Source organism: Homo sapiens, chromosome 3, assembly GCF_000001405.40.
Source record: "Homo sapiens chromosome 3, GRCh38.p14 Primary Assembly".
NCBI classification, from domain to species: domain Eukaryota; kingdom Metazoa; phylum Chordata; class Mammalia; order Primates; family Hominidae; genus Homo; species Homo sapiens.
Window position 1 is genome coordinate 14893984 of NC_000003.12, and position 23134 is coordinate 14917117.

The window sequence follows — 23134 nt, forward strand, 5'->3', positions numbered from 1 at the left end:
CTGACCTCAGGTGATCTACCTGCCTCTGCCTCCCAAAGTGCTGGGATTACAGGTGTGAACCACTGTGGCCGGCCTTGTTTCTTTTATCACAATGTATATCTGCACCCATTAATCATCCTCTCTTCATTGCCACCCCCTTCCCACCTCTGGTAACCACCAGCCTACTTTCTATCTTCATGAGATCCACTTTTTTAGCTACCACATATGAGTGGGAACATGCGATATTTGTCTTTCTGTGCTTGGTTTATTCACTTAAGATAATGACTTTCAGTTCCATCCGTGTTGCTGCAGATGACAGGACTTCATCCTTTTTTATGGCTGAATACTATTCCATTGTGTATATATTGCCACATTTTCTTTATCCATTCATCTGTTGAGGTGTACTTAGGTTGAATCCATACTTTAGTTATTGTGAATTGTGCTGTGAAAAACAAGGTGGTGCAGCTATCTTTTTGATGTATTTGGTTTTCTTTCTTTTAAATATCTACTCAGTAGTGGAATTGCTAGAGCATTTGTTAGTTCTTTTTTTTTTTTTTTTTTTTCCTTTTTTGAGACAGGGTCTCATTCTGTCACCCAGGCTGGAGTGCAGTGACACAATCATGGCTCACTGCAGGATTGACCTCCTGGGCTCAAGCGATCCTCCTGCCTCAGCTTCTTGAGTAGCTGAGACCACAGGTGCAGGTCCAGCTAATTTTTTTTTTTTTTTTTTTAGATACGAGATCTTGCTATGTTGCCCAGACTGGTCTTGAACTCCTGGCCTCAAGTGATCCTCCCAGTAGTTCTATTTTTAGTGTTTTAGGAACCTTCATACTGTTCTCCATAGTGGCTGTACTATTTTACATTCTCACTGACAAGAGTTCCCCTTTCTCTGCATCTTTGCCAACATCTGTTATTGCGTGTCTTTTTGATAAAAGCCATTTTAACAGGGGTGAGATGATACCTTGTAGTTTTGGTTTGCATTTCTCTGATGATTATGATGTTGAGCTTTTTTCATATACCTATTGACCATTTGTATGTCTTCTTTAGAGAAATATCTGTTTAGATCTTTTGCCCATTTTTAAATCGGATTATTTGGGCTTTTTTGCTATTTGAGTTGTGTGAGCTCCTTATATATTTTGGTTGTTAATCCTTTGTCAGATGAATAGGTTGTACGTATTTTCTCTCATTCTGTGGGTTGTCTCTTTGTTGATTGTTTCCTTTGCTGTGCAGAAACTTTTTAGACTGATGTAGTCCCATTTGTCTATTTTCGCTTTGATTGGCTGTGCTGTTGAGGTCTTATGCAGAAAATCTTCCCCTAGTCCAATGTTCTAGGGTATTTCCCCAATGTTTTATTCTAGTTGCATCATAGTTGGAGGTCTTAGATTTAAGTCTTTAATCCATTTTGATTTGGCTTTTGTGTATAGTGATAGATAGAGGTCTAGTGTCATTCTTCTGCATTTAGTTATTTAGTTTTCCGAGCACCATTTATGGAAGAGACTGTCCTTTCCCCAGTGTATATTCTTGGAACCTTTGTCAAAGATGAGTTGGCTGTGATTGTGTGGATTTATATCTGGGTTTACAGACAACAAGATCTGTTTTTTGTTTTGTTTTTTTGTTTGTTTGTTTTATGAGACAGGGTCTTGCTCTGTCACCCAGGCTGGAGTGCAGTGGTGCAATCAGAGTTTACTGCAGGCTTGACTTCCCAAGCTCAAGTGATCCTCCCAGCCTCTCAAATAGCTGGGACCACAGGCACCTGCCACCCTATCCTGCTAATTTTTGTATTTTTTGTAAAGATGGGGTTTTGCCATGTTGCCTAGGCTGATCTCAAACTCCTAGGTGCAAGTGATCCCTCATCTTTGGCCCTAAGTGCTGATATTAAAGTGCTGATATAAAAGCCGACAAGATGTTATACTCAGAAAAAGCTGAAGACGCCACCAAGAAACTAATAGAACTGATAAACAAATTCAGCAAAGTTGCAGAATACAGAGTCAGCATACAAAAATCAGTAGCATTTCCATATACCCAAAGTGAACAATCTAAAAAAGAAATCAAGAAAGCAATCCCATTTATCATAGCTACAAAGGATATAAAATACCTAGGAATCAATTTAACCAAAGAAGTGAAAGATCTGTACAAGGAAAACCATAAAACACTGATGAAAGAAATTGAAGAGGACACAGACAAAAATGCGAAGATGTTCCATGCTCATGGATTAGAAGAACTAATATTGCTAAAATGACAATACTACCCAAGGCAGTTTATAAATCCAATACAATCCCTATCAAAATACCAATGACATTCTTCACAAAAATAGAAAAAAAGTCCTAAGATTTATATGTAACCACAAAAGACCCCCAACAGCCAAAGCAATCCCGAACAAAAAGAACAAAGCTGGAAGCATCACACTACCTGACTTCAAAATTTACTTCGAAGTTTTAGTCTCCAAGTCAGCATAGTACTTGCATTAAAAACAGGATACATGGAACAGACTAGAGAACCCAGATGTAACTTTTTTTTTTTTTTTTGAGACGGAGTTTTATTCTTCTTCCCCAGGGTGGAGTGCAATGGCGCGATCTCGGCTCACTGCACCCTCTGCCTCCTGGGTTCAAGCGATTCTCGTGCCTCAGCCTCCCGAGTAGCTGGGATTACAGGCATGCGCAACCACACCCAGCTAATTTTTGTATTTTTAGTAGAGACAGGGTTTCTCCATGTTGGTCAGGCTGGTCTTGAACTCCTGACCTCAGGTGATCTGCCTGCCTCAGCTTCCCAAAGTGCTGGGATTATAGGTGTGAGCCACTGTGCCCAGCTCCCAGATATAATTTTTATATTTATTAAATTGAGTTTAGTTTTAGAAGTACATTAATCATGATAGATTTTAGAAAATAGAAACAAGAAGATTCACAGTCATTCCTAATTCTGTACTCGTGACCCAGCCACTCTGCATGTCGTCCTGTTTTCTTTGAGCTTTCTCCTCTGCTCACTTTTTACACAGTATATCAGGGTGTGGAAACAGCTCTGCACCCCTTCTTGATTGCTGAACACTATGATGTGAATATTTCTACATAGCCACCACCTTTATCATTTTTAGTGACAGCTTAATATACCATAGGGTGGATGCCTATAATTTCCTTAGACTTCGTTTTGAAACAACATAGCTCATGAACCTCTTCAAAGATGAATAATGAGAAAGCAAAACCTTCTGCTTCGTTATAGAAGGAATTACCCAATCTCTCCCCTATCTTGAAAAAGAAGAGTGTTCACCACGTGGCCACAACGAGAGGAGAGTGAGTGTGTGTTGAGCCCTGCTCTGTGCCAGGCGTTGGGTTGGGTGCTCTTTGGGTGTCAGCTCAGGCAGCCCTATGGTCGCCAGGTGCATGTGGTCATCTCTGCTTTGTAGGTGAGACTGTTGGGTCTGGAGACACTGGCTTAAGTCCTCACTGCTGTCTTCACAGAGGCCAGGGCTCCAAAGCCCCAGGGGAAATCTGCCAAGGAGGACTTGTGCTCAGTCCTATCAACCTGTGGGTAACAGACCTTTTGGTGTTTCAGGATTTCCATGGAGCTGTCATGAGGGCCTTGGATGACATGGACCATGAAGGCAGAGACACATTGGCCCGGGAGGAGCTGAGGCAGGGCCTGAGTGAACTCCCAGCCATCCACGACCTTCATCAAGGCATCCTGGAGGAGCTGGAGGAAAGGCTGTCAAATTGGTGAGCAGTCCCTGGACCCCCGGGTTCCACTTTTGTTGCACTGGGGGAATGGAGACGGATAAAAACACCACCATATGAAATAGTATCTCCATTTGATTGATGGGAAAGCCGAACTCCGAAGTGTTAAGTCATTTGCTCAAAGTAAAACAACTGTGCAAGGGTTGAGCTGGGATCTGCACCCAGGGATGTGACTCCAGGCCCCCTGCTTCTAACCCTGCGTTGGTTACAAGGCTGAGTTCTCACTGTCCCATCCCCATTCCTGGCTGCAGGGAGAGCCAGCAGAAGGTAGCTGACGTCTTCCTGGCCCGGGAGCAGGGGTTTGATCACCACGCCACTCACATCCTGCAGTTCGACAGGTACCTAGGTCTGCTCAGTGAGAATTGCCTCCACTCTCCCCGGCTGGCAGCTGCTGTCCGTGAATTTGAGGTGGGTCCCTTGGTCCTCTGAGACCCTGCTGTAAGGATGCAGGGGTTGAGGTGGGCGAAGGGCTTAATGCAAATCAGTGGGACATCTTGGTAGGTGTGGGGCTGGGGAGCAGACAGGGAAGACCTGGCCAGAGGGATGAGAGGATGACCCATCAGGGAGGAGAACCCAGAATTCAGAACATCCGCTGTTGGGCAGCAGATGACAGTGCAGTGAGTGCCACCCAGTAAGGGTCTCAGGGTAGTTTTCTTGTCTCAGTTGAAAAGCACCAACCAAGCCAGAGCCCCAGCCGTGGAGTGTTCAAGGAAATTCCCAACACTAGCCACAAACTGGGGATCTAGTTTTCCTGGGCAGAAAAAGGGGGAGCTTTCCTCCATTGCTAACATTAAGAGCAGGGCAGGGACTAGGAGAGGCTTGATACTGAGTGTAGCACCAACTGGGAGCATGATGGAGTGAGCAGTTACAGCAGGGCCGGGCTAATCCAGGAGGGCTTCCCGCAGGAGGAGAACCTGGTTTTGGAGATGAGGGAGAAGTTCAGCTGGCCCGGGAAGAGGTGTGGATGGGACAGTGTATATGGGCTGCTGTGAGCATGGTGCCTTCAGGAGGGGTTTCTGATAAGGTTTTTCCTTCCCTGTCTTGAGAGCAGCAGAGTGTACAAGGAGGCAGCCAGACTGCGAAGCATCGGCTGCTGCGGGTGGTTCAACGCCTCTTCCAGTACCAAGTGCTCCTCACAGGTGGGCCCCACAGGAGATCAATGGGGACTGAGGCGGCAGGGCAGGGAAGGCCCCTGAGGAGGGGTGGAGGGGACTGTGGTGACCTTGCCTCTGACCATGTCAGGCAGGTGTTGGGGAAGGGTGACCTCTGCCATCACCTTTCCCTCCAGTTGAGCTTTGAGCCCTCTGAACCACCTCCTGCCACCTTAGAACGCTCCCTCCAGTGGCCACCCCTGATCCTAAAACACAAAAACCCAACGACACCCCTCCCCAGCTTGCACTTCCTCCCTGCCTCAGCTGGCCATCTCCTCATTTCACTGAAGCCACGCCTGTCATCAAAGTCCTCTTGGCCATATGAGTGGACATTTTCAGCCTTGGACCTGCTGGACCCACGACCACTTCCTGCTTCTCGAGTCCTTTCCTCCGCGGGTTTCTGTGGTATACTCTCTCCCACTTCCCTCCCATCTCTCTGTCCCTTCTCTGTCTGTGTTGGTGGCCTCCCATCCTCCACTGCTCCATAAACGTCAGAGCTTCTCAGGACTCAGTCCTGGGTCCCCTTCCCTTCTCTCTTTATGCCCTTTCCCCTATCTCTGCCTGCTGGAAACACCCACTCCTCTGTTCTGAGCTCCAGACCCATTTATTCAGCTGCCTCCCAAATAGACAAAGACCCCTGATGTCCTAATGAGAGAGACAGACAGTACATATGTAGGCATGGATATGTAATTCCAGGTAGCAACTGGGGCTCCTCAAAAATACATTAGGGCCAAGGACTAGAGAATTCATTCATCTAATCCAAGAACTATTTATTGAGCACCTACTATGTACCAGGTCCCATGCTGGATGCTGGAGATGCAGCAGTAAATCGAACAGCAAACTCAGTGACACTGTAGAGCTTACACCCTAGACAAGCAAATAAGAAAGCCAAAAGATAATGTCTGTTAAGAACTCTTAAGAAAAATAAAGCAAGTTAAGGAGACAGAGGGAACAGGGCTGCTGTGTTAGCGATCAGGGAAGACCTCTCTGAGGAGGCGGCATTGGACAGAGATCTCAGTAAAGCAAGGACATGAGCCATATGAAGATCTGAAGAGAGTGCCAGGCAGAGGGAACAGCAAGTACAAAGGCCCTGGGGTAGGACCAAGCTTGGCACATTCAAGAAAGCCATCATGGCCAGAATAGAACGAGCAGATGGAAGAGCAGTCACTGGGGAGGGGCTGGAGGATGTGGAGCCTGGAGAGTATGAATGCACTACAGGTTCCACACAACACACTCGGCTGTGCTGATTGCCATGTCTGTCGCCCCCAGTGGGCTGTGATGGATTCACCTTGTTGTGTCTGTCTCCAAGGCATGGCCCAGTGCCAGGCAGGTGCTCAATGGGTATCTGTTGGATAAGTGAGGGACAAGCAGCTGTGGCAGCAATGCTGACAGTGGTCCTGGGGGCCTGGTTTCATGCTAATGTGGTATTGTGATGGGGCCAGCAGGGGAGAGAGGGTGGATGCTTCATTCTTCCAACTCTGGCAAGAGAGGGGGTGGCCACAGTTGTGGGCAGGAGGGGCTGACCTCACCAGTAGCTGACTCCTGGTTCTTATCCTGCCAACAGACTATTTAAACAACCTTTGTCCGGACTCCGCCGAGTACGACAACACACAGGGTGAGTCCAGCGTGAATGCGGAGGGAGGTACTCAAGCCTGCTCTGCCTCCTTGCGCCAAAGCCTGGACCCTGCCCCAATTCCAAGGCCCAGGATATAGTCCCCTCCCCACCAGCTGGGTGGGTTCTGCATATGACACATCTTGGACTTCTGTGAGAGCCCACAGCTCTTCTGAGATGGGTCCCCTGTCACCTCAGCTGTGGGGACATCCTAGGACGGGAGGACATCCCGTCAGAGGGGATGGGGGAGTCACCAGAATTTGGTGATAGGAGGGGTGGTGCCAGGTCTGAAAAGCTCACCACAGTCTCCCTGTTTCCTCCCAATTCGATGTGGCTGTCCCTGTGTATCACCTGCCAGGGTGGTCACTATTATAACATATTCAGTTTACAGCCAGGGAAACTGAGGCATGCATGACAGTGGTCAAATCACTGTCAAGGTCACCTAGGCAGTAGTGGCCAAGCTGGGCTTGAGGCCTGTGACCTGACACTACAGTGGGGAAAATTGATGCCCCTCTTGCAATGGCCCAACTCCTGCTCTGTGTCCCTCCCCAGGTGCACTGAGCCTCATCTCCAAAGTCACAGACCGTGCCAACGACAGCATGGAGCAAGGGGTGAGTGCGGCCTGGCGGCCCCCTTCCTCAGACACAGGTTCCAGGCACCTCCCCACCAGCTCCGGTCAGCCTTCTGATGCCCCACTCCTAGGGGCTGCAGGCAACCGTCTCTCTTGTGGGACTCTGCAGAGAGCCGTGGGTTCTGGCTCTGACTCTTGATGTGTGACCTCAGGCGCTGTGTGCCCCTCTCTGCGCCTCCAGTTCACTGTTCAAACAATGAGAGGAATGCCCCGACTGTGGTCTGAGGCCACCCCCATCAGCACCTGGGGTGCTTTGTAAACTCCTAGTTCCTGGGCACACGTTGGATCCTCCCAGTCAGAGCTTCTGCATGTAGGATCTAGAGAGCTGCATTTTTAACAAGCACCCTGGGTAAATGTTAGGACCACAAAAGTTTGAGAATCACTAGTCCACTAGAATATGTGGCTCTAAGCACAGATCTGATTCTGACTGTGTGACTCTGTCTGCTAGAGGGCAGAGTTGATCCCGCATCCCAGCTCCATTCAGGTGGTCACCACATGCTCACTGTCCTGCTAAGCTGTAGGCATGCCAGCGCTCTGTGTTGACAATGGTTCCAAGCCCGAGTCCTAGGTCACTGGAAAAGAGTTCAGTGACCAGGTAGTCACATCTTCTGCAGGCACAGAAGGGAGATGATGGCCATGTGTGCCGAGGAGGTGCTATACTTTGCTGTGGCAGAGACACAGTGAGTCATCCACAGGCAGAAGAGGAAGGGAAATTGCATTTATTGGACACCTGCTATGTGTCAGACCTTGTGCTGTGTTGGGGAGTGGAGATACAAGCCCTTGAGGAAACCTCCGCTTAGTGGAGTAACTAAATATGTGGATGCAAATGACCATGATAGATGTCATGGGAGAGAATGCCACAGGGTTCAGAGAAGGGAGGTGGCCCTTCCAGCCGAGGTTGCCAGAAGAGATGATACGGGCCAGGTGTGGTGGCTCACGCCTGTAATCCCAGCACTTTGGGAGGCCGAGGCAGGTGGATCACTTGAGGTCAGGAGTTCAAGACCAGCCTGGCCAACATGATGAAACCCTGTCTCTATTAAAAATACAAAACTTAGCCAGGTGTGGTGGCACACACCTTTAGTCCCAGCTATTTGGGAGGCTGAGGCTAGAGAATCGCTTGAACCTGGGAGGCGAAGGTTGCAGTGACCCGAGACCATGGCATTGCACTCCAGCCTGGGTGACAGAGTGAGATTCCATCTTAAAAAAAAAAAAAAAAAAAGTTGACCTGGAGGTGTCCCCATAGGGAGGATTTGCACACATGCCAGGAAGGCAGAGAGAGAAAAGGGGTGATAGGAAGAGGGGCTGGCCTGGGCAAAGACATGGAGGTTGGACGGTGCATGTTGGAGTTCAGAGAGCCACCTGCTAGGTGGCTAGGCGTTGGGGACAGGATGGCAAGGTAGCATCAGAGTCCAGGGAGAGAGGTCGGGCTGGCTGGTGAAGGGTAGACTGAGAGTGGAGGCTGAATCAGCTAGGTATGAATACACAGGCCAGTTTCCGGGCCGTTTTCCATGTGGGTCAGACATGCCCTTTTAATCTTTAAGGTCCTCTCTTCTCTCACTCTGCTCTGCACTGACCTCCCTGCCCCTCCTCATTTTGGCATCTTGTACATACAGTGAGAGTCCCTCAACACAGCCAAAAACTAGAGGTGCTTTGGGGTCCAGCACCCTGTCGAGGAATAGCAGCAGATGGGCTGGGTTCTCCACATTTCCCTTTAGCCGGGGCTGCCTCTGCTTCCAGAGAGAAAAACTAGGTCAGGCAGGGATACATCTTCCCTCCTACGGGGAGCTTGCACACACAGCCCCACCCAGAGGAGGAACCGGAGCAGCCGACGGCCAGACACCCTCTTGGCTTTCTCCAAGGCTGAAGTTGGACGCTGTGCTGGGAAGCAGGGGCCAGCTGTGGACAGCTGCACCAGGCCTGCTCTGGACCAGAGGCCCCTAGCCCATGCCTGCTTGGATTGGGGAGGAGCTCTGCCTGGGACATTTACTCTTTTGCAGTTTGGAGGTATTAAGTACATTCACACTGTCATGCAGCTGTCATCCCATTCATCTCCAGAACTTCTCTTCCCAGACTGAAACTCTCTCCCCATTAAACTCTAACTCCTCATTCCAGTCTGCACCCCAGCCGCTGGTAACCATCATTCTGCTTTCTGAATAGACTTTATTTTTTAAAACAATGTTTAAAAGCAATGTTAAATTTACAGAAAAGATTGAGAAGATAGTACTGAGAGTCCCCATGTGTCCCCCACACAGTGTTCTCTGTTATGAACATCTTTATTATTATTATTATTATTATACTTTTAGGGTACATGTGCACAATGTGCAGGTTAGTTACATATGTATACATGTGCCATGCTGGTGCGCTGCACCCACTAACTCGTCATCTAGCATTAGGTATATCTCCCAGTGCTATCCCTCCCCCCTCCCCCCACCCCACAACAGTCCCCAGAGTGTGATGTTCCCCTTCCTGTGTCCATGTGATCTCATTGTTCATTTCCCACCTGTGAGTGAGAATATGCGGTGTTTGGTTTTTTGTTCTTGCGATAGTTTACTGAGAATGATGATTTCCAGTTTCATCCATGTCCCTACAAAGGACATGAACTCATCATTTTTTATGGTTGCATAGTATTCCATGGTATATTAGTATGCTACATGTGTTACATTAACACACAAATATTGGTACAGGATTATTAACCGAAGACCCTAGCTCATTCAGATTTCCTTAGTTTTGCCTGGTGTCTTGTTCTAGGGTCCCTTCCAGGACCCCACATGCTGTTTAGTGGTCCTGTTTCCTTAGGCTCCCCTTGACTGCAGTAGTTTCTCATTTTCCTTGCTTTTGATGAGCTTGACAGTTTTCAGGAGTACTGGTCAGGTATATGGCAGGACGCCCTTCTGGTGGAAATGTCTGGTGTTTTTCTCATGATTAGACTGGGTATATGGCTATTTGGGAAGAGGCTCACAGAGCAAGGTACTTTTCATCCCATCATATGAAGGGCACATACTAGCAACAGGATTTACCACTGTTGATGTTGACCTTGGTCACCTGGCTGAAGTCACCTGGTGGCAGGTTTCTCCACTGTGAAGCTGCTCTGTCTCACCCCTGCCTTTTCCATGCCCTTTGGAAGAAAGTCAGTTTGTGCAGCCCATTCTTAGGAGCGGGGGGTTATGCTCCCTCCTCTTGAGGGCACCATATCTACCTAGGTTATGTGGAATTCCTCTGCCTGGGAGATTTGTCTCTTCTCCCTCATTGGCTAGTGTATCTAGTCATTATATATAAAGAAGTCATTTATATCAGTATGGACTGTTATAATCCAACACTTCCTTATTTATTTTATTTCTCAAATTGTTTCAGCTTTGGCTATTGGGAGCGTTTTCAGTTGGTTTCTGTGCCCTTTTCACATGGTGTCATCAATATAGATTTCAGGGTGTGTGTGTGTGTTTGTGTTTTGAGAACTTCCTTACTTTCTGGCAGTGCAAGGTGCTCCAGGATCACTCACCTTGTGTATTTCCTGCCCCAGTCTTAGAATCAGTCATTTCTCCATGGAGCCCTGTTTGCATTAATTGGATAATAATACTAACAGCCAAGATACAGGCATTAGGTGCACTTACTGGTAATGTGGTATCATTTCTTTTACACCTCCTTAGCTGACAGCAAAGAAATATATGTGTATACCAGCTTTTGCATATACCCATATCTGTAGATATTTCCATACATAACCATCTGTATCTGAATATTAAACTAACCATGAGTTTTATTTTATTTTTTTGTAGAGATCGAGGTCCCACTATTTTGCCCAGGCTGGTGTCAAGCAGTCCTCTTGCCTCAGCCTTCCAAACTGCTGGGATTATAGGCATGAGCCACCATGGCTGGCCTTTATTTATTTTTATTTTATTGTATTTTATGTATTTTTTTTTACCATGAGTTTTTACCAATGTTTCCCATTCTAATCATGACCACACTAGCCTCCTCCCTTGCTTATCTGTAAATTCTCACTCCAACAGTGAGAAGCCTCGTTCCTACCACCCATTAATTTAATTGTTCAATTTACCTTAATTTGTGGAAGATATTTTTCCTGGGTGTAGAAACCTGGATGGACAGTTTTTCTTTGCTGCCACTCCACTGTCTTCTGGTGTACATCGTTTCTGGTGGAAAGTCTGCTGTGATACTCATGAGTATCTGTCTTTGTGTAATGTGTCCCTTTTCTCTGGCTGCCTTTAAGATCTTCTCTTTTGATTTGATTTTGGGAAGTTTGGCTGTGATGCGTCTGTGTGTGTGTGTTGTGGGGGATGGGGTGCTCTTTATCCAGTTGTGATTCTTGAGCTTCTTGGATCTGTGGTTTGTTGTCATTCACTAATTTTGGGAAATCCTCTTGGATGCTCTGTTCTTTTTCCCTGCTCTTTGTGTTTCAGTATGGATCATCTCCACTGATCTGTCTTCAAGCTCATGGAGTCTTTCCTCAGCTGTGTTCCGTTTGCTGCTAAACCTGTCAAAGGAATTCTTTGTTTCTGATACTGATTTTTTACTTTCAAAATTTCCATTGGACGCTCACGTATGGTTTCCATCTCTGCCAAAATCCTCCATCTGCTTGCGGGTGGTGTTCACCTTTCCCACCAGGTCCTTTTACCCACCAATCAGAGCTACTTCAAGGTCTGATGGCTCAGACACCTGTGTCCCTTCTCACTGTGGTTTGATGGAATGCTTTCTCCTCTTGAAAATGAGTTGGGGTTGGGGAGTTTTTTGCTTGCATTTTTGTGTTCCTCATAACTTGTTATTGGAGGCCAGGCATTATGTGTAGAAGCACTGTAGAGACTGAGGTAAATCGTATTTACCCCTCAAGGTGGGGTAAGCCTCTTTTTTGGTCATGGCTGTTCACGGTAGGGTACAGGGCAGTCGGGTCAGTCCAGTCGGCACCTGATCTGGGTTTGGGTTTTGCTGCCGTGTCATCAACCTTCAGTGACTGCCAGGCTTCATGCTTCTCCCGTGGGTGCTGCTGTGACCTGTGGGGTAGGTCAGAGAGCTTTTCTTTCATTCTTGCTCCATATTCAGCTTTTAGCCCTCCCTGCACCACAGGAAGGCCCTCTCCCCATGTTCTTGCTCTTCTCAGAGGCAGGCTACTGCCCTGTGTTACTCAGTGCTGGACTTATGGTGGGCACATGCCTACATCTGAAGCAGGGCCTGTGAGCCGGGCTCTCACAGCATTCCTGTCCCTCCCCTCCATGGCGGCTGAGCTCTGTGGCTCTGTGGCTGGCCTTAGACAGGTTTCTGGCCATCCCCCAGCAAGGTATTGGTGCACAGTACTGGGTCCAAGGGGTTATCGCCCCCGTCCTAGGGTGCAGCTTTCCTCTCTTTCCCTAGAGGAGCAGACCTTTGCCTGGGCTGTGGGGGTGGGAGGTCTCCTGGCCTCCTCCTGGAACTGAAGCCTTGCATGAGAGAAGGCCTGAGGAAGTGGGCAGGGCTTTGCATGTGGCCCCACCTTGCCCCTGCCTTTCTCGTGGGCACGTGGCAGAGACTCGTGGATGAGAGCTTGCAAGTGAGGACAGATTCCCTCGCGTCTGCAGCTCCCCATTACTCTAAACTGGCACCAGCCCACACCTGTCCTTTGAGAATTCATTAACATTTTCGCTGCTTTCTTCTTACCTTCCTTTACACCAGCCACCTCTGCCTCCTGTGTGTCACCAAAGGTGCGGCAGTTCCTGCATCTCATTCCTTTGTGGACGGGCTTGCCAGGTGGAACCCAGTTCACTCGGTTGCCTTGTGACCCCAGCTCTCCCACAGGCTGAAGCATAGTTATGATTTTGAAGGTTATCTGGCTTTTTCACACTACAATGAGAACAGTGTTCTCTTGTACTTCCTACATCTTAAATGGAAATGGAACCACAATTACTCATTTTTTACTACATAGGATTTTATGCCCAAAACCATAGATAATGGAAAGGACTTTTCAGGGCAAATTCTCTACCCACAATGTTCACCTTACAACTTTAGAACCTGCCCTGTGTAAGGTTCAAGGGGCACCTGCCCACAGGGTGGGCGCTTGTTGTATCTAGGATTGTGGGGTGCTGTGCAGAGGAGACAGGGGGCTGTTACTTTACATTTTGTGGCTAACCCAGTGAAGTACTGACAAGGCACACTTATTTTTCTAACCACGAGGCTCCACAGAGTGTGGATCCAGTTTCCTCTGCAGGTGCTGTGTTTCATGGGCTACAAGCCAGGAGGGCCTGAGGCCAGCCTTGGGTCCGATGAAGTCCCCATGCTCCAGACCTCATGAGAGACATAGGCTTAGAGAGCGTAGGAGCAGTTGTCCAGAGAAACACAGGGATGCTGGACAGCACAGTGAGGCCAGGCAGCCGGCTCCACAGCACATAGAGCCATGGTGGTGGCTCCCTGCAGACCCAGGCTCGGATCCCAGTCCTGCCTTGTACAGGAGGTTGGATTTGGGGCAGGCCTTTCCGGGCTTCATTTTTGTCTGAAACAGAAGCAACGCCATGCCTTACAGAGGAGATAAGACGCCTGGTAGGGGCCCTGACCATCTCTCCCTCACCCCATTCCCACCCACAGGAAAACCTGCAGAAGCTGGTCCACATTGAGCACAGCGTCCGGGGCCAAGGGGATCTCCTCCAGCCAGGAAGGGTGAGTGCCGCCACCATGGGTAGGGGCAGAGGGTGGCTGGGCGAGGCTCCGATAAGCCCCATTGTTCACTGGGCTGGCCCCAGACAGGCCTGGCTGCAGGTGCTGTCTACCCATGGAGGGCAGGCAGGCGGGTGGGCGTGGGCTCACTGGATTCTCCTGGCCGCAGTCCTAGGCTGCCTTCCCTGGGGTTCTCCACCCCATGTGTTGCCTGCAGAGCAGTTAAAGACTCAGCGCCAGGTTTTTTCTGTGTTCCCTGTGGCTCTCCTCACCTCCAAGGAGAGGAAGCACCAAATATTTTCAGTGCAGAGTTGCTGGGAAAACAGAAAATGATCTCCCAAGAGCAAACCCTTAGAAATTTTCTTAAAAATAACATTCTTGAGGAGATAAATCCACTCTCTTTAAAGCTTCCAAATGGAAAATGTAAAACTCAGCTTAAAAACAGTAAAAAATGTTCATTACCAGTTGTGCTCCATAAAGGACAAGAGACAAAGGAATGAAAGTACATGCTCAGGGGAATTTTACTCAAGATTAGCAGGTGTCTCATGGGACTGAGATTCTGTAAAGTTACATTTAGTGATCATGAGTTTGGTAAATTGTTTCTTAAACATCTATTTGTATCTCCAGAATTACGGGGGCTATAGCAGCTGTTCCCAGGTCTTCAGCTGTTTTAGTAGACCTTCCGAGGCTCTGTTCTGAATGGACTCCTCGTGGGTACAAACCAAGGAGGGAGTCATGGCTTGGACCACCCAGAATCCTGAAAGACACAGTCTTGAGCACCATGATCCCAAACGTTGAAATCCCAAAAGATCAAAATCCCAAAAATATAATTCTGGAAAAAATAATTTAGAAAAATATTTTAAAGATATTTATATTTTTAAAAGGGGAATTTATGGGGCCGGGTGTGGTGGCTCATGCCTGTAATCCCAGCACTTTGGGAGGCTGAGGCAGGCAGATCACAAGGTCAGGAGTTCGAGATCAGTCTGGCTAGCATAGTGAAACCCCTTCTCTACTAAAAATACAAAAAATTAGCCAGATGTGGTGGCCTGTAGTCCCAGCTACTCGGGAGGCTGAGGCAGGATAATCGCTTAAACCCAGGAGGCAGAGGTTGCAGTGAGCCGAGATCGCGCCATTGCACTCCAGCCCGGGCGACAGTGCGAGACTCCCTCCCAAAAGAATAAATAAATAAATAAAAATAATAAATAAAAAGGGAATTTATTTATTTATTTATTTATTTATTTATTCATTCATTCATTCATTCATCCATTCATTCATTCATTCTTTTGAGCTGGAGTTTAGCTCTTGTTGCCCAGGCTGGAGTGCGATCTTGGCTCACTGCAACCTCCGCCTCCCCGGTTCAAGCAATTCTCCTGCCTCAGCCTCCCGAATAGCTGGGATTACAGGCATGTGCCACCATGCCTGGCTAATTTTGTATTTTTAGTAGAGACGGGGTTTCTCCATGTTGGTCAGGCTGGTCTCAAACTCCCGACCTCAGGTGATCAGCCTGCCTCAGCCTCGCAAAGTGCTGGGATTACAGGCGTGAGCCACTGTGCCCAGCGGGAATTTATTTAAGAAACACAAAAACACAACAGAATACTTCATAGGCCACTTTATACAATAAAATAGGCACTACGAACATATATAATTTTGCAAGCATAAATGCTGCTGTGTGCTAACAATAGTTCCACGGGTCAAACAGTCATGAGCACACAAACCATATTCATAAAAAAGAAGGTCAAACAGGGAAATGTATCAGTGTATGTCACTATGGTTAGTAATTGTATGCGCCCAGCCTTATAACTGTGGTCATCTGAAATACCATGACAGATAACCGAAGTCTTTTGATGAGCTCAGTTAAAAACTGTGATGGGTCACCACAGTACATGCAGCCACCCACAGAGCAAAGATCTCAGGAAATTTTATCTTTCACAAATGCAAATGTACAAAGAGGATATCTCCATTCATTGAGGAAGTTTGTGTTTTTAAGTACATACACAGTGCTTACACACAAATTCAACATTGTGATAATGCACTTTTCTTTTCTTTTCTTTTCTTTTTTTTTTTTTTTTGGAGACAGAGTCTTGCTCTGTTGCCCAGACTGGAGTGCAGAGTTCAGTGGCTATCTAGACTCACTGCAACCTCCGCCTCCTGGGTTCAAATGATTCTTCTGCCTCAGCCTCCCGAGTAGCTGGGACTACAGGCACGCACCACCACACCCATCTAATTTTTGTATTTTTAGTAGAGACAGAGTTTCACCATATTGGCCAGGCTGGTTTTGAACTCCTGACCCTGTGATCTGCCTGCCTCAGCCTCCCAAAGTGCTGGGATTACAGGCGTGAGCCACCACGCCTGGTTGTGATAATGCACTTTTCATGAAGCCAAATTTGCAAAAAAATAAAAATAAAAAATACATAAAATGAATTAGAAACCTGTAAAAGTCTGTATACAATTTATACCTCCAGTATTGGAAATGATGCAGAATGTAATACAGAGCATGGTGAATTGCTTTGCCAGGTTTCCAGGTGTTCCTCAATCCAGTCAAGTTGATGCCTAAAAATTAACCATCACAAGTCCAACGCTTGTCAACTTGGCACCCGCACGCATCTCCTTAAATCATACTTAATTTCCAAACAAAGACAATAACAGGGTAATAATTCCACCTAACATAATGCAGCTTTCCTGTGATTGTGATTTTCAGAATTTTGTGAGTGTTTTGTTTTTTGAGACAGGGTCTTAGTAAGTTGCCCAGGCTGGTCTTGGACTCCTGAGCTCAAGTGATCCTTTCAACTGTGTCTTAGGCTGCAGACACACACCATGGCACCCAGCCTGATTTTTGGAATTTTTAATGTTAAGGATTTTAGACTTCTGAGATTTAGACTTTAGGGATTATGATATTCAGGGTGGTGTCTTTCAGGACTATGATCCAAGCCCTGCTCTAGCATATACAGCACCTCTCTCATGAGCAGGGATTTATCTGCTAGCTGCTCTCGGGTTCTCTGGGAGGCTTTATGATTTAAGTTTCCACTCAGGGGCCTCCCCTGCACCCTTGTCTGGGATTGATTTAAGTTTCCACTCAGGGGCCTCCCCTGCACCCTTGTCTGGGATTCAGGGGGCATCAGCCTGACCGCCAAGTTCTGCTTCTCTCCCCACAGGAGTTTCTGAAGGAAGGGACGCTGATGAAAGTAACAGGGAAAAACAGACGGCCCCGGCACCTATTTCTGGTAAGTGCCCGGTCCCCAAGCCCAGCTCAGGAACTGCCAAGTTCTATGAGGTTTTCTAGGGCCATTATTCAAGGACAAGTGGAATAGGGTGAGAGGAGAGTAGAACAGAGCAGACATTTGGGGGTGAGGATCATTCTGGACAGCTGAGAGCTTCACCCTTGGACACCACGCCCACCACTCATTTGTTATTTGAATGATTTTGAGTGGAATGTTGGCAAGATGTAGTTACCCACATCCCCACCTTAAATATCTGTCAACCACCTTATCTAATGCTCAGAGAACTGAGGTCCAGAAAGGAAAGTCGCTGTAGCTAGGCCTCCCAGGGGGATGGTGGCAGAAGTCCAGGAGGAGCCAAGCGTTGTGACCCAAGTCCAGCACTTTCTCTACTGTGCAGGAGACAGGATGTAAGATAACATTTTTGCTTATGGACAACTGGAGTCTTCCATACCAGGGAGTGTCCAGGCCTAGGGTATATCTTTATCGGCCTTAGTGGCTGTTGAGTGCCCCAATCCTGAGACCTCCAAGTGGCCATGCCTTTTAAGCCCTCTGCTGGGCACAGTTTTTCTCTTGCTCCTGCATTTCTGCTTTCATTCCTTGTTCCTGTCCGCCATGGCTGCCTCTCCCAGCTTCCTCATACTTCGTCAAAGCACCGTGTGCAGTGGGAGAGACAGGCTGTGGTAAGAGTCTACGAGCTCTCTCTGTTCCAGGCGTTGACTGAGCACCTCGTGTGTGCTGGTGCTGGAAACAAAGAAAAATCCCAGGTCTTGCCCTCAGCCTTCAGAGTCCAATGGGAGGGAGAAGCAAGCAGACAGCCCATTGTAAATGCAGAGTTATGAGCGCGATATGGAGGGATCTCGGGTGCCGTGGAAGCAAAGAGGACTAAGGAGGGCCAGGGGTGAAGAGAAGAGGAGCCACAGCCACGGCAGCGCCGCCGTGTCTGGAGTGTCTGCTGGGTGCGCACACTGTGCTCAGTGTTTCATATGTTTTCTGAAGAAAATTCTACCCGAGTTCAGCCCTGGAGGAAGGATGGGAGTTTGGCAGGTGCACCAAGGAAGGGCATTTCAGGAGAGGTAAGGGCCTAAGCAGAGGATAGAGGCATGAGGAGTGTGGTGTGTTGGAGGAGTTCTGTGAGCCTCAAGAAGTCTTTGTCTGCAGCCAGACCCTTCTGCTCGTGAGTGGGGTCTTCCCCATGCCCCAAATAGGCCCTACCCGTAGAGGGGCCACTTGAGGACTGAATTCCAGAGAGAGCTGGTGGTGCTGGTGGAGAAATCCTGAGCCTGGGCAGAAGTGTGGAGCCTGCAGTGCTGGCAGGGTGTGCTGGGCCCCGATGGCTGGTGGCCTCAGGCTCTGCATGAGGCACTAGGTGACCCAAGTCCAGAGTCTCCCTCCCTTCCCTCCCTCCTAAGAGCTATTTCTTTCCTCCCATGAGAACCCCTCACTCTGGCTGGTCGGTTCTGCAGTGGGCGAGATTTAGCTGCAGGCAAGAGGAGAGTGGACCCCAGGGGGGATTTTGAGAGAGATCTGAGAGCCAAGCAGTGCGTGGTTTAGATTTGGGTTCTCAGAAGGGTTTCAAAGCCCCCACAGATGCCTGAGTCCTTTTCTCTAGGTCGTTTTTTTTAACCTCTGCTTACACACCTCCAGTGTTGGGGAGCTCACTGCCTGCTGTAACATTCATTCATTCTGCAGCTTATTATCCATCTCCTCTGCATGCCAGGAACTGTGCTGGTGTGTAGACATGGCCTTTGCCCTGCTGTGGGTCTTGGAGTCCAATAGTGGAAGACATTTTTTATTCCATGTTAGACAAGTCTAAATTTTAGAAATTCTTGGCCAGGCACGGTGGCTCTTGCCTGTAATTGCAGCACTTTGGGAGGCCGAGGCAGGCGGGTCACAAGGTCTGGAGTTCAAGACCAGCCTGGTGAACATGGTGAAACCCCATCTCTACTAAAAATACAAAAAATGAGCCAGGCATGGTGGCGTGTCCCTGTAGTCCTAGCTACTCAGGAGGCAGAGGCAGGAGAATTGCTTGAACCCAGGAGGTGGGGGTTGCAGTGAGCTCAGATTGCGCCATTACACTCCAGCCTGGGCGACAGAGTGAGATTCCATCTCAAAAAAAAAAAAAATTCTCTCCATTGAGAGAAATCCCCAAATGTAGGGGCAGGTAATGAGCCAGACAGAGCTGGTTAGATCCTGCTCCATGGTACACTTACTACTTCTGTGACCCTTAGACAACTCACAGACATGTGCGAGCCTCAAGTCTCCCCCCAGGAAAGTGGAAAGACTGGGTGGTTTTGAGAATTAAATTCCTGGCATTTAATTACATGCCTGGCAGGTAGAAGCCGCTTATCTGATAGTAGTTGTAACAGTTTCTCCCTTCCCGCTGACAGTTGTTCCATGGGACACAGGTCCTCCCTCTCTATCTAGAGCTATAGATCTCATCAGCTCCCTGCCCCAGCACAGCCCTGCAGGGAGTTGGGTCCCCGTGAATTCCCCCTCTTCAGGACGCAAAAGGGAGGCCATACCGGATGGCAATGGGGAGGCAGACAGACCAGATGCAGACCCCAGATGCAGACCCCAGCTCTGACAGCTACTGGTGTGAGACCCATGAGCACATCCCATTACCTCCCCGAGCCTCAGCTCCCTGATCTTTAAAACAAGGGAAGCAGTGAGGCGGCAGATGGCACAGGGCAGAGCTCTGTCTTGGCCCCTCAGCCATTTGCATCTGGCCACCTCCTCTGGCCATGCCCCTCTGATCTCTGCACCTCTCCCAGGGACCTTGAATGCCAGGAACAGACACAACAGCCTGGCTTTCCCCAATCTGTCCTCACCTCGTCCTCCACTTCATCTGTCCCTGGTCTTGGCTCACTGGCCCTCACACACCTGAAGCTCTTTGAGAAGGGTGCCAGCTCCTCCCCTTCAAGCCAAGCTCAGATAGCACCTTCTATGGAAGCCTAGCCACCACCCCCGTTTCCCCTCTCCCTCCTCCTCCTCTAGCCCTGCTTCTCTTCTTCCCCACACTCCCCCCGTCTGGCATGGCCCTTTATCAGAACATCTCCTTCCCTCAGGGATAGGCCTGCATCCCTCTGATTACCCTGCTGTGATTAGGCCATCAGCCCCACAGTCTGAAGCTGGGTCCTCTTCTTCCTCTGGCTCAGCGCAGCCCTTCCACTGAGCAGTGTTGATAACTCTCTAATGGAGGGATACATGGGAGGAGGGCGGCCCGACAGGTGCTCAAGCCAGGGAGTGCCATGGTGAACAAACACACTTAGGAAGAATTTTTCTTCCTCAAAGGTGCCAGTTTCAGAAAATAATCTGAACTGCAGAACAGAGTTGGGGCATCTGGGCGCCCACGCCCAGCAGTGTTGTTAGACTGCGGAAAGTGTCTACCAGGCAGCGACGTCCTTGAGCTGCAGGTGGGGCTGCCCCCTGGTGGCTTCTTACAGTGGGAAGCCCCCCTACCCATTCATGATGGGCTCTTCCTCCTTCCTCCAAGCTGGGGCTGTAAAGCATATACTTTGAAGCAGGCAGGAGAGCCATGGGCAAATTAGGACGTAGCCTGGTCCCGAAAGGCGAAGGAGACCTCGGGGTGCTCATGGCAGTTGCCATGGCAGCAGGAACTTGAGGGGCCATCACAGAGAGGCTGGGGCTGCTCTCCCTAGTGACATAGGTCAGTTCCCTGGGTCTGGGAGGGTTCATGGGCAAGGTTCATGAACCTGTGCACAGGTTCACTGTGAGAGCAGCCCTGACATTCCCTCCCGAGCACACTGGAGGGACACTCATCAAGCCATACCCCTGGCTCCACTACCTGCTAGCTGTGACCTCAGGCATGGCCTCTGGCCTCTCTGGGCCTCAGTTTCTCCCTCTTGGCAATGAGGATGATGATCATGGTGCCTGTGCGTTAGGACTGTGGGAGTGCACGTTAGGACTGTGGGAGTGAAGTCAGGGTTTTGGTCCAGCGCCTGGTGCAGAATCGGTGTCAATGCACTGTAGTGCCTGTCACTCTTAGAAGGCAGGGCAAGAACAGGGCTTCACAAACTAGAGCTGCAGGCCAAAGCCAGCCAGACACCGATTTTTGTTGATAAAGTTCTGTGGGAACACAGCCACATGCATTCCATCATGGGTTGTCTGTGGCTGCTTTGCACAGCAGCAGAGTTGAGGGCTGGAGGCGGAGGCCTGAAGCATTCCATACCTGGCCCCTACAGGACAGTGCCCCAACCCCCACCTACTCCAACTCTACTGGGACACAGCAAGGCCCGGAGAGAGGGAGGGGTTCCTGAGGTCCCATGGAGGGGGTCATTGGTGGGCCAAGTCTCCTGCATTGCCATGGCTGGAACCTTGGAGTCCTGAGAAGAGCTAGCTGTGGGAAAACTCATTCTGTTCCCTCAGCAGGCTCTGTCTATCCAGGGAAAAGAAGTATTCATTCTGACTTTTCACATGCAGTGTCTTGTTCCATCCTTACACATCCCTACTTTATGTTTTCCTCCATGCCTGCGTGGCTCTCCTTGGTTCATGTCAGCATCATGTGTAGAGGACTTGCCTTGGTTCACACTGGTGCCATGTGTCCAGGGCTCACTCTGGTTTATGTTGACACTATGTGTAGAGCGTTCACTTTGGTTCATGTTGGCACCATGTGTAGAGGGCTCTCTCTGGTTCATGTTGGCACCATGTGTTTAGGGCTCATCCTGGTTGATGTTGGCGCCATATGTCCGGGGCTCACCCTAGTTCATGTTGGCATTTTGTGTACAGAGCTCACCCTAGTTCATGTTGGCATCGTGTGTACAGGGCTCACTTTGGTTCACATTGGTGCCATGTGCACAGGGCTCTCCCTGGTTCATGTTCCCAGGTGGACAGGGCTCACCCTGGTTCATGTTCCCAGGTGGACAGGGCTCACCCTGGTTCATGTTGGCACCATGTGTACAGGGTTCACCCTGGCTGATGTTGGCGTCATTTGTACAGGGCTCACCCTGGTTCATGTTGGCACCATGTGTACAGGGTTCACCCTGGCTGATGTTGGCATCATTTGTACAGGGCTCACCCTGGTTCATGTTATTGCCATGTGGAGAGGGCTTGCCCTGGTTGATGTTGCCATGTGCATAGGGCTCCCCCTGGTTGATGTTGGTGTCATGTGTAGAGGACTCCCCTGGTTCATGTTGGCTCCATGTTTAGTGGGCTTATTCTGGTTCATTTGGCCCCATGTGAAAAGGGCTCACCCCAGGTTAATGTTGGTCACATATAGAGAGGGCATTCTCTCTGTGTCCACGATAAAGTAATGGTGGTGGTGTCTCCCATTTCCCAGAGGAAGCTGAGACTCAGCTGAGGAAAGGGCTTGGTCATAGTCTCAACGCTGGTCCATAATATGGTCAGGATTTACAACCCTGAGCGTGATGTCATCTTCTCACACCTGAAACCGTTTAGCTAACCAGAAATACTCTCTCCTAAGGAGATAAAGTGACTTTCATTACATGTCTTTCTGTCTGCCCTGCTGTGGGGAGAGCTTTAGTTGTTCATTCAACAAATATTAATTGAGCACCTACTCTGTGAAGGGACCTGGAAGTACAGCAGCAAGCAGGGCCCACCACTTCCCTGTCCTCAGGGTGTCTCCCAACCCTTCCTTAGCTATACTTTATCGAGCTTTATTTTTATAGTGAAATGCATCAACCTTAAGCATATGTGTTAGTTGGTACTGACAAGTGTATATCACAGTGTAACCACCACCTGGGTCGAGATGTGGAACATTTCCAACCTCCAGAAAGTTCCTCTGTGCCCGTTTGGAGTTCATTTCTCCCAACCCTGGGGGCCCCCATCAACCACTGGCCTGACTTTTGTCCCTATTTAGATTAGTTCTGCCTATTCTGGAGTGTCACAGAAATGTCATCAAACAGCATATACTCTTTTGTGCCTCGCTTCTTCACTCAGCATGATTTTGAGATGCATCCACGTGGTGGTGTGTATTGGTGGCATGTTCCTTCTGGCTGCTATAAGGTATTCTGTGGTATATGGATAGACCAGTTTGTTTATCCATTCACCTGCAGATAGACATTGGAATTGTCCCTACTTTCTGGCTGTTACAAATAAAGCCACTATGAACATACTCACACGACTTCTTGAGGGCATATGCATTTATTCCTCTCAAGCATCGAACCAGGAGTAGAGTGGCAAGGAAGGGGCTCACATTTTGGCCGCAACGTTTT

The 23134-nt window shown here is 48.9% G+C and overlaps 1 protein-coding gene across 6 annotated transcripts in view, besides 4 other annotated features; it reads left to right on the plus strand.

Moving 5' to 3' along the window:
- Positions 1-23134, plus strand: part of FGD5 (FYVE, RhoGEF and PH domain containing 5) — a 123884-nt gene that overhangs the window by 83296 nt on the left and 17454 nt on the right. For all 6 annotated transcript variants that reach the window (XM_011533422.2, XM_011533423.2, XM_047447514.1 and 3 more), the window contains 7 exons: positions 3526-3686; positions 3956-4112; positions 4756-4843; positions 6420-6470; positions 7020-7078; positions 13657-13728; positions 16878-16946. In XM_011533422.2, the coding sequence (XP_011531724.2) occupies positions 3526-3686; positions 3956-4112; positions 4756-4843; positions 6420-6470; positions 7020-7078; positions 13657-13728; positions 16878-16946 (657 nt within the window). The remainder of the gene's footprint in view (positions 1-3525; positions 3687-3955; positions 4113-4755; positions 4844-6419; positions 6471-7019; positions 7079-13656; positions 13729-16877; positions 16947-23134) is intronic.
- Positions 5865-6748: an enhancer, noted in NCBI's record as "H3K27ac-H3K4me1 hESC enhancer chr3:14941355-14942238 (GRCh37/hg19 assembly coordinates)". NCBI's record gives its function as "activates a minimal SCP1, AML or CMV promoter by ChIP-STARR-seq in naive H9 embryonic stem cells {active_cell/tissue: H9 hESC(naive)}" and the evidence as "EXISTENCE:reporter gene assay evidence [ECO:0000049][PMID:30033119]".
- Positions 6749-7631: an enhancer, noted in NCBI's record as "H3K27ac-H3K4me1 hESC enhancer chr3:14942239-14943121 (GRCh37/hg19 assembly coordinates)". NCBI's record gives its function as "activates a minimal SCP1, AML or CMV promoter by ChIP-STARR-seq in naive H9 embryonic stem cells {active_cell/tissue: H9 hESC(naive)}" and the evidence as "EXISTENCE:reporter gene assay evidence [ECO:0000049][PMID:30033119]".
- Positions 19963-20785: an enhancer, noted in NCBI's record as "H3K4me1 hESC enhancer chr3:14955453-14956275 (GRCh37/hg19 assembly coordinates)". NCBI's record gives its function as "activates a minimal SCP1, AML or CMV promoter by ChIP-STARR-seq in naive H9 embryonic stem cells {active_cell/tissue: H9 hESC(naive)}" and the evidence as "EXISTENCE:reporter gene assay evidence [ECO:0000049][PMID:30033119]".
- Positions 20786-21607: an enhancer, noted in NCBI's record as "H3K4me1 hESC enhancer chr3:14956276-14957097 (GRCh37/hg19 assembly coordinates)". NCBI's record gives its function as "activates a minimal SCP1, AML or CMV promoter by ChIP-STARR-seq in primed H9 embryonic stem cells {active_cell/tissue: H9 hESC(primed)}" and the evidence as "EXISTENCE:reporter gene assay evidence [ECO:0000049][PMID:30033119]".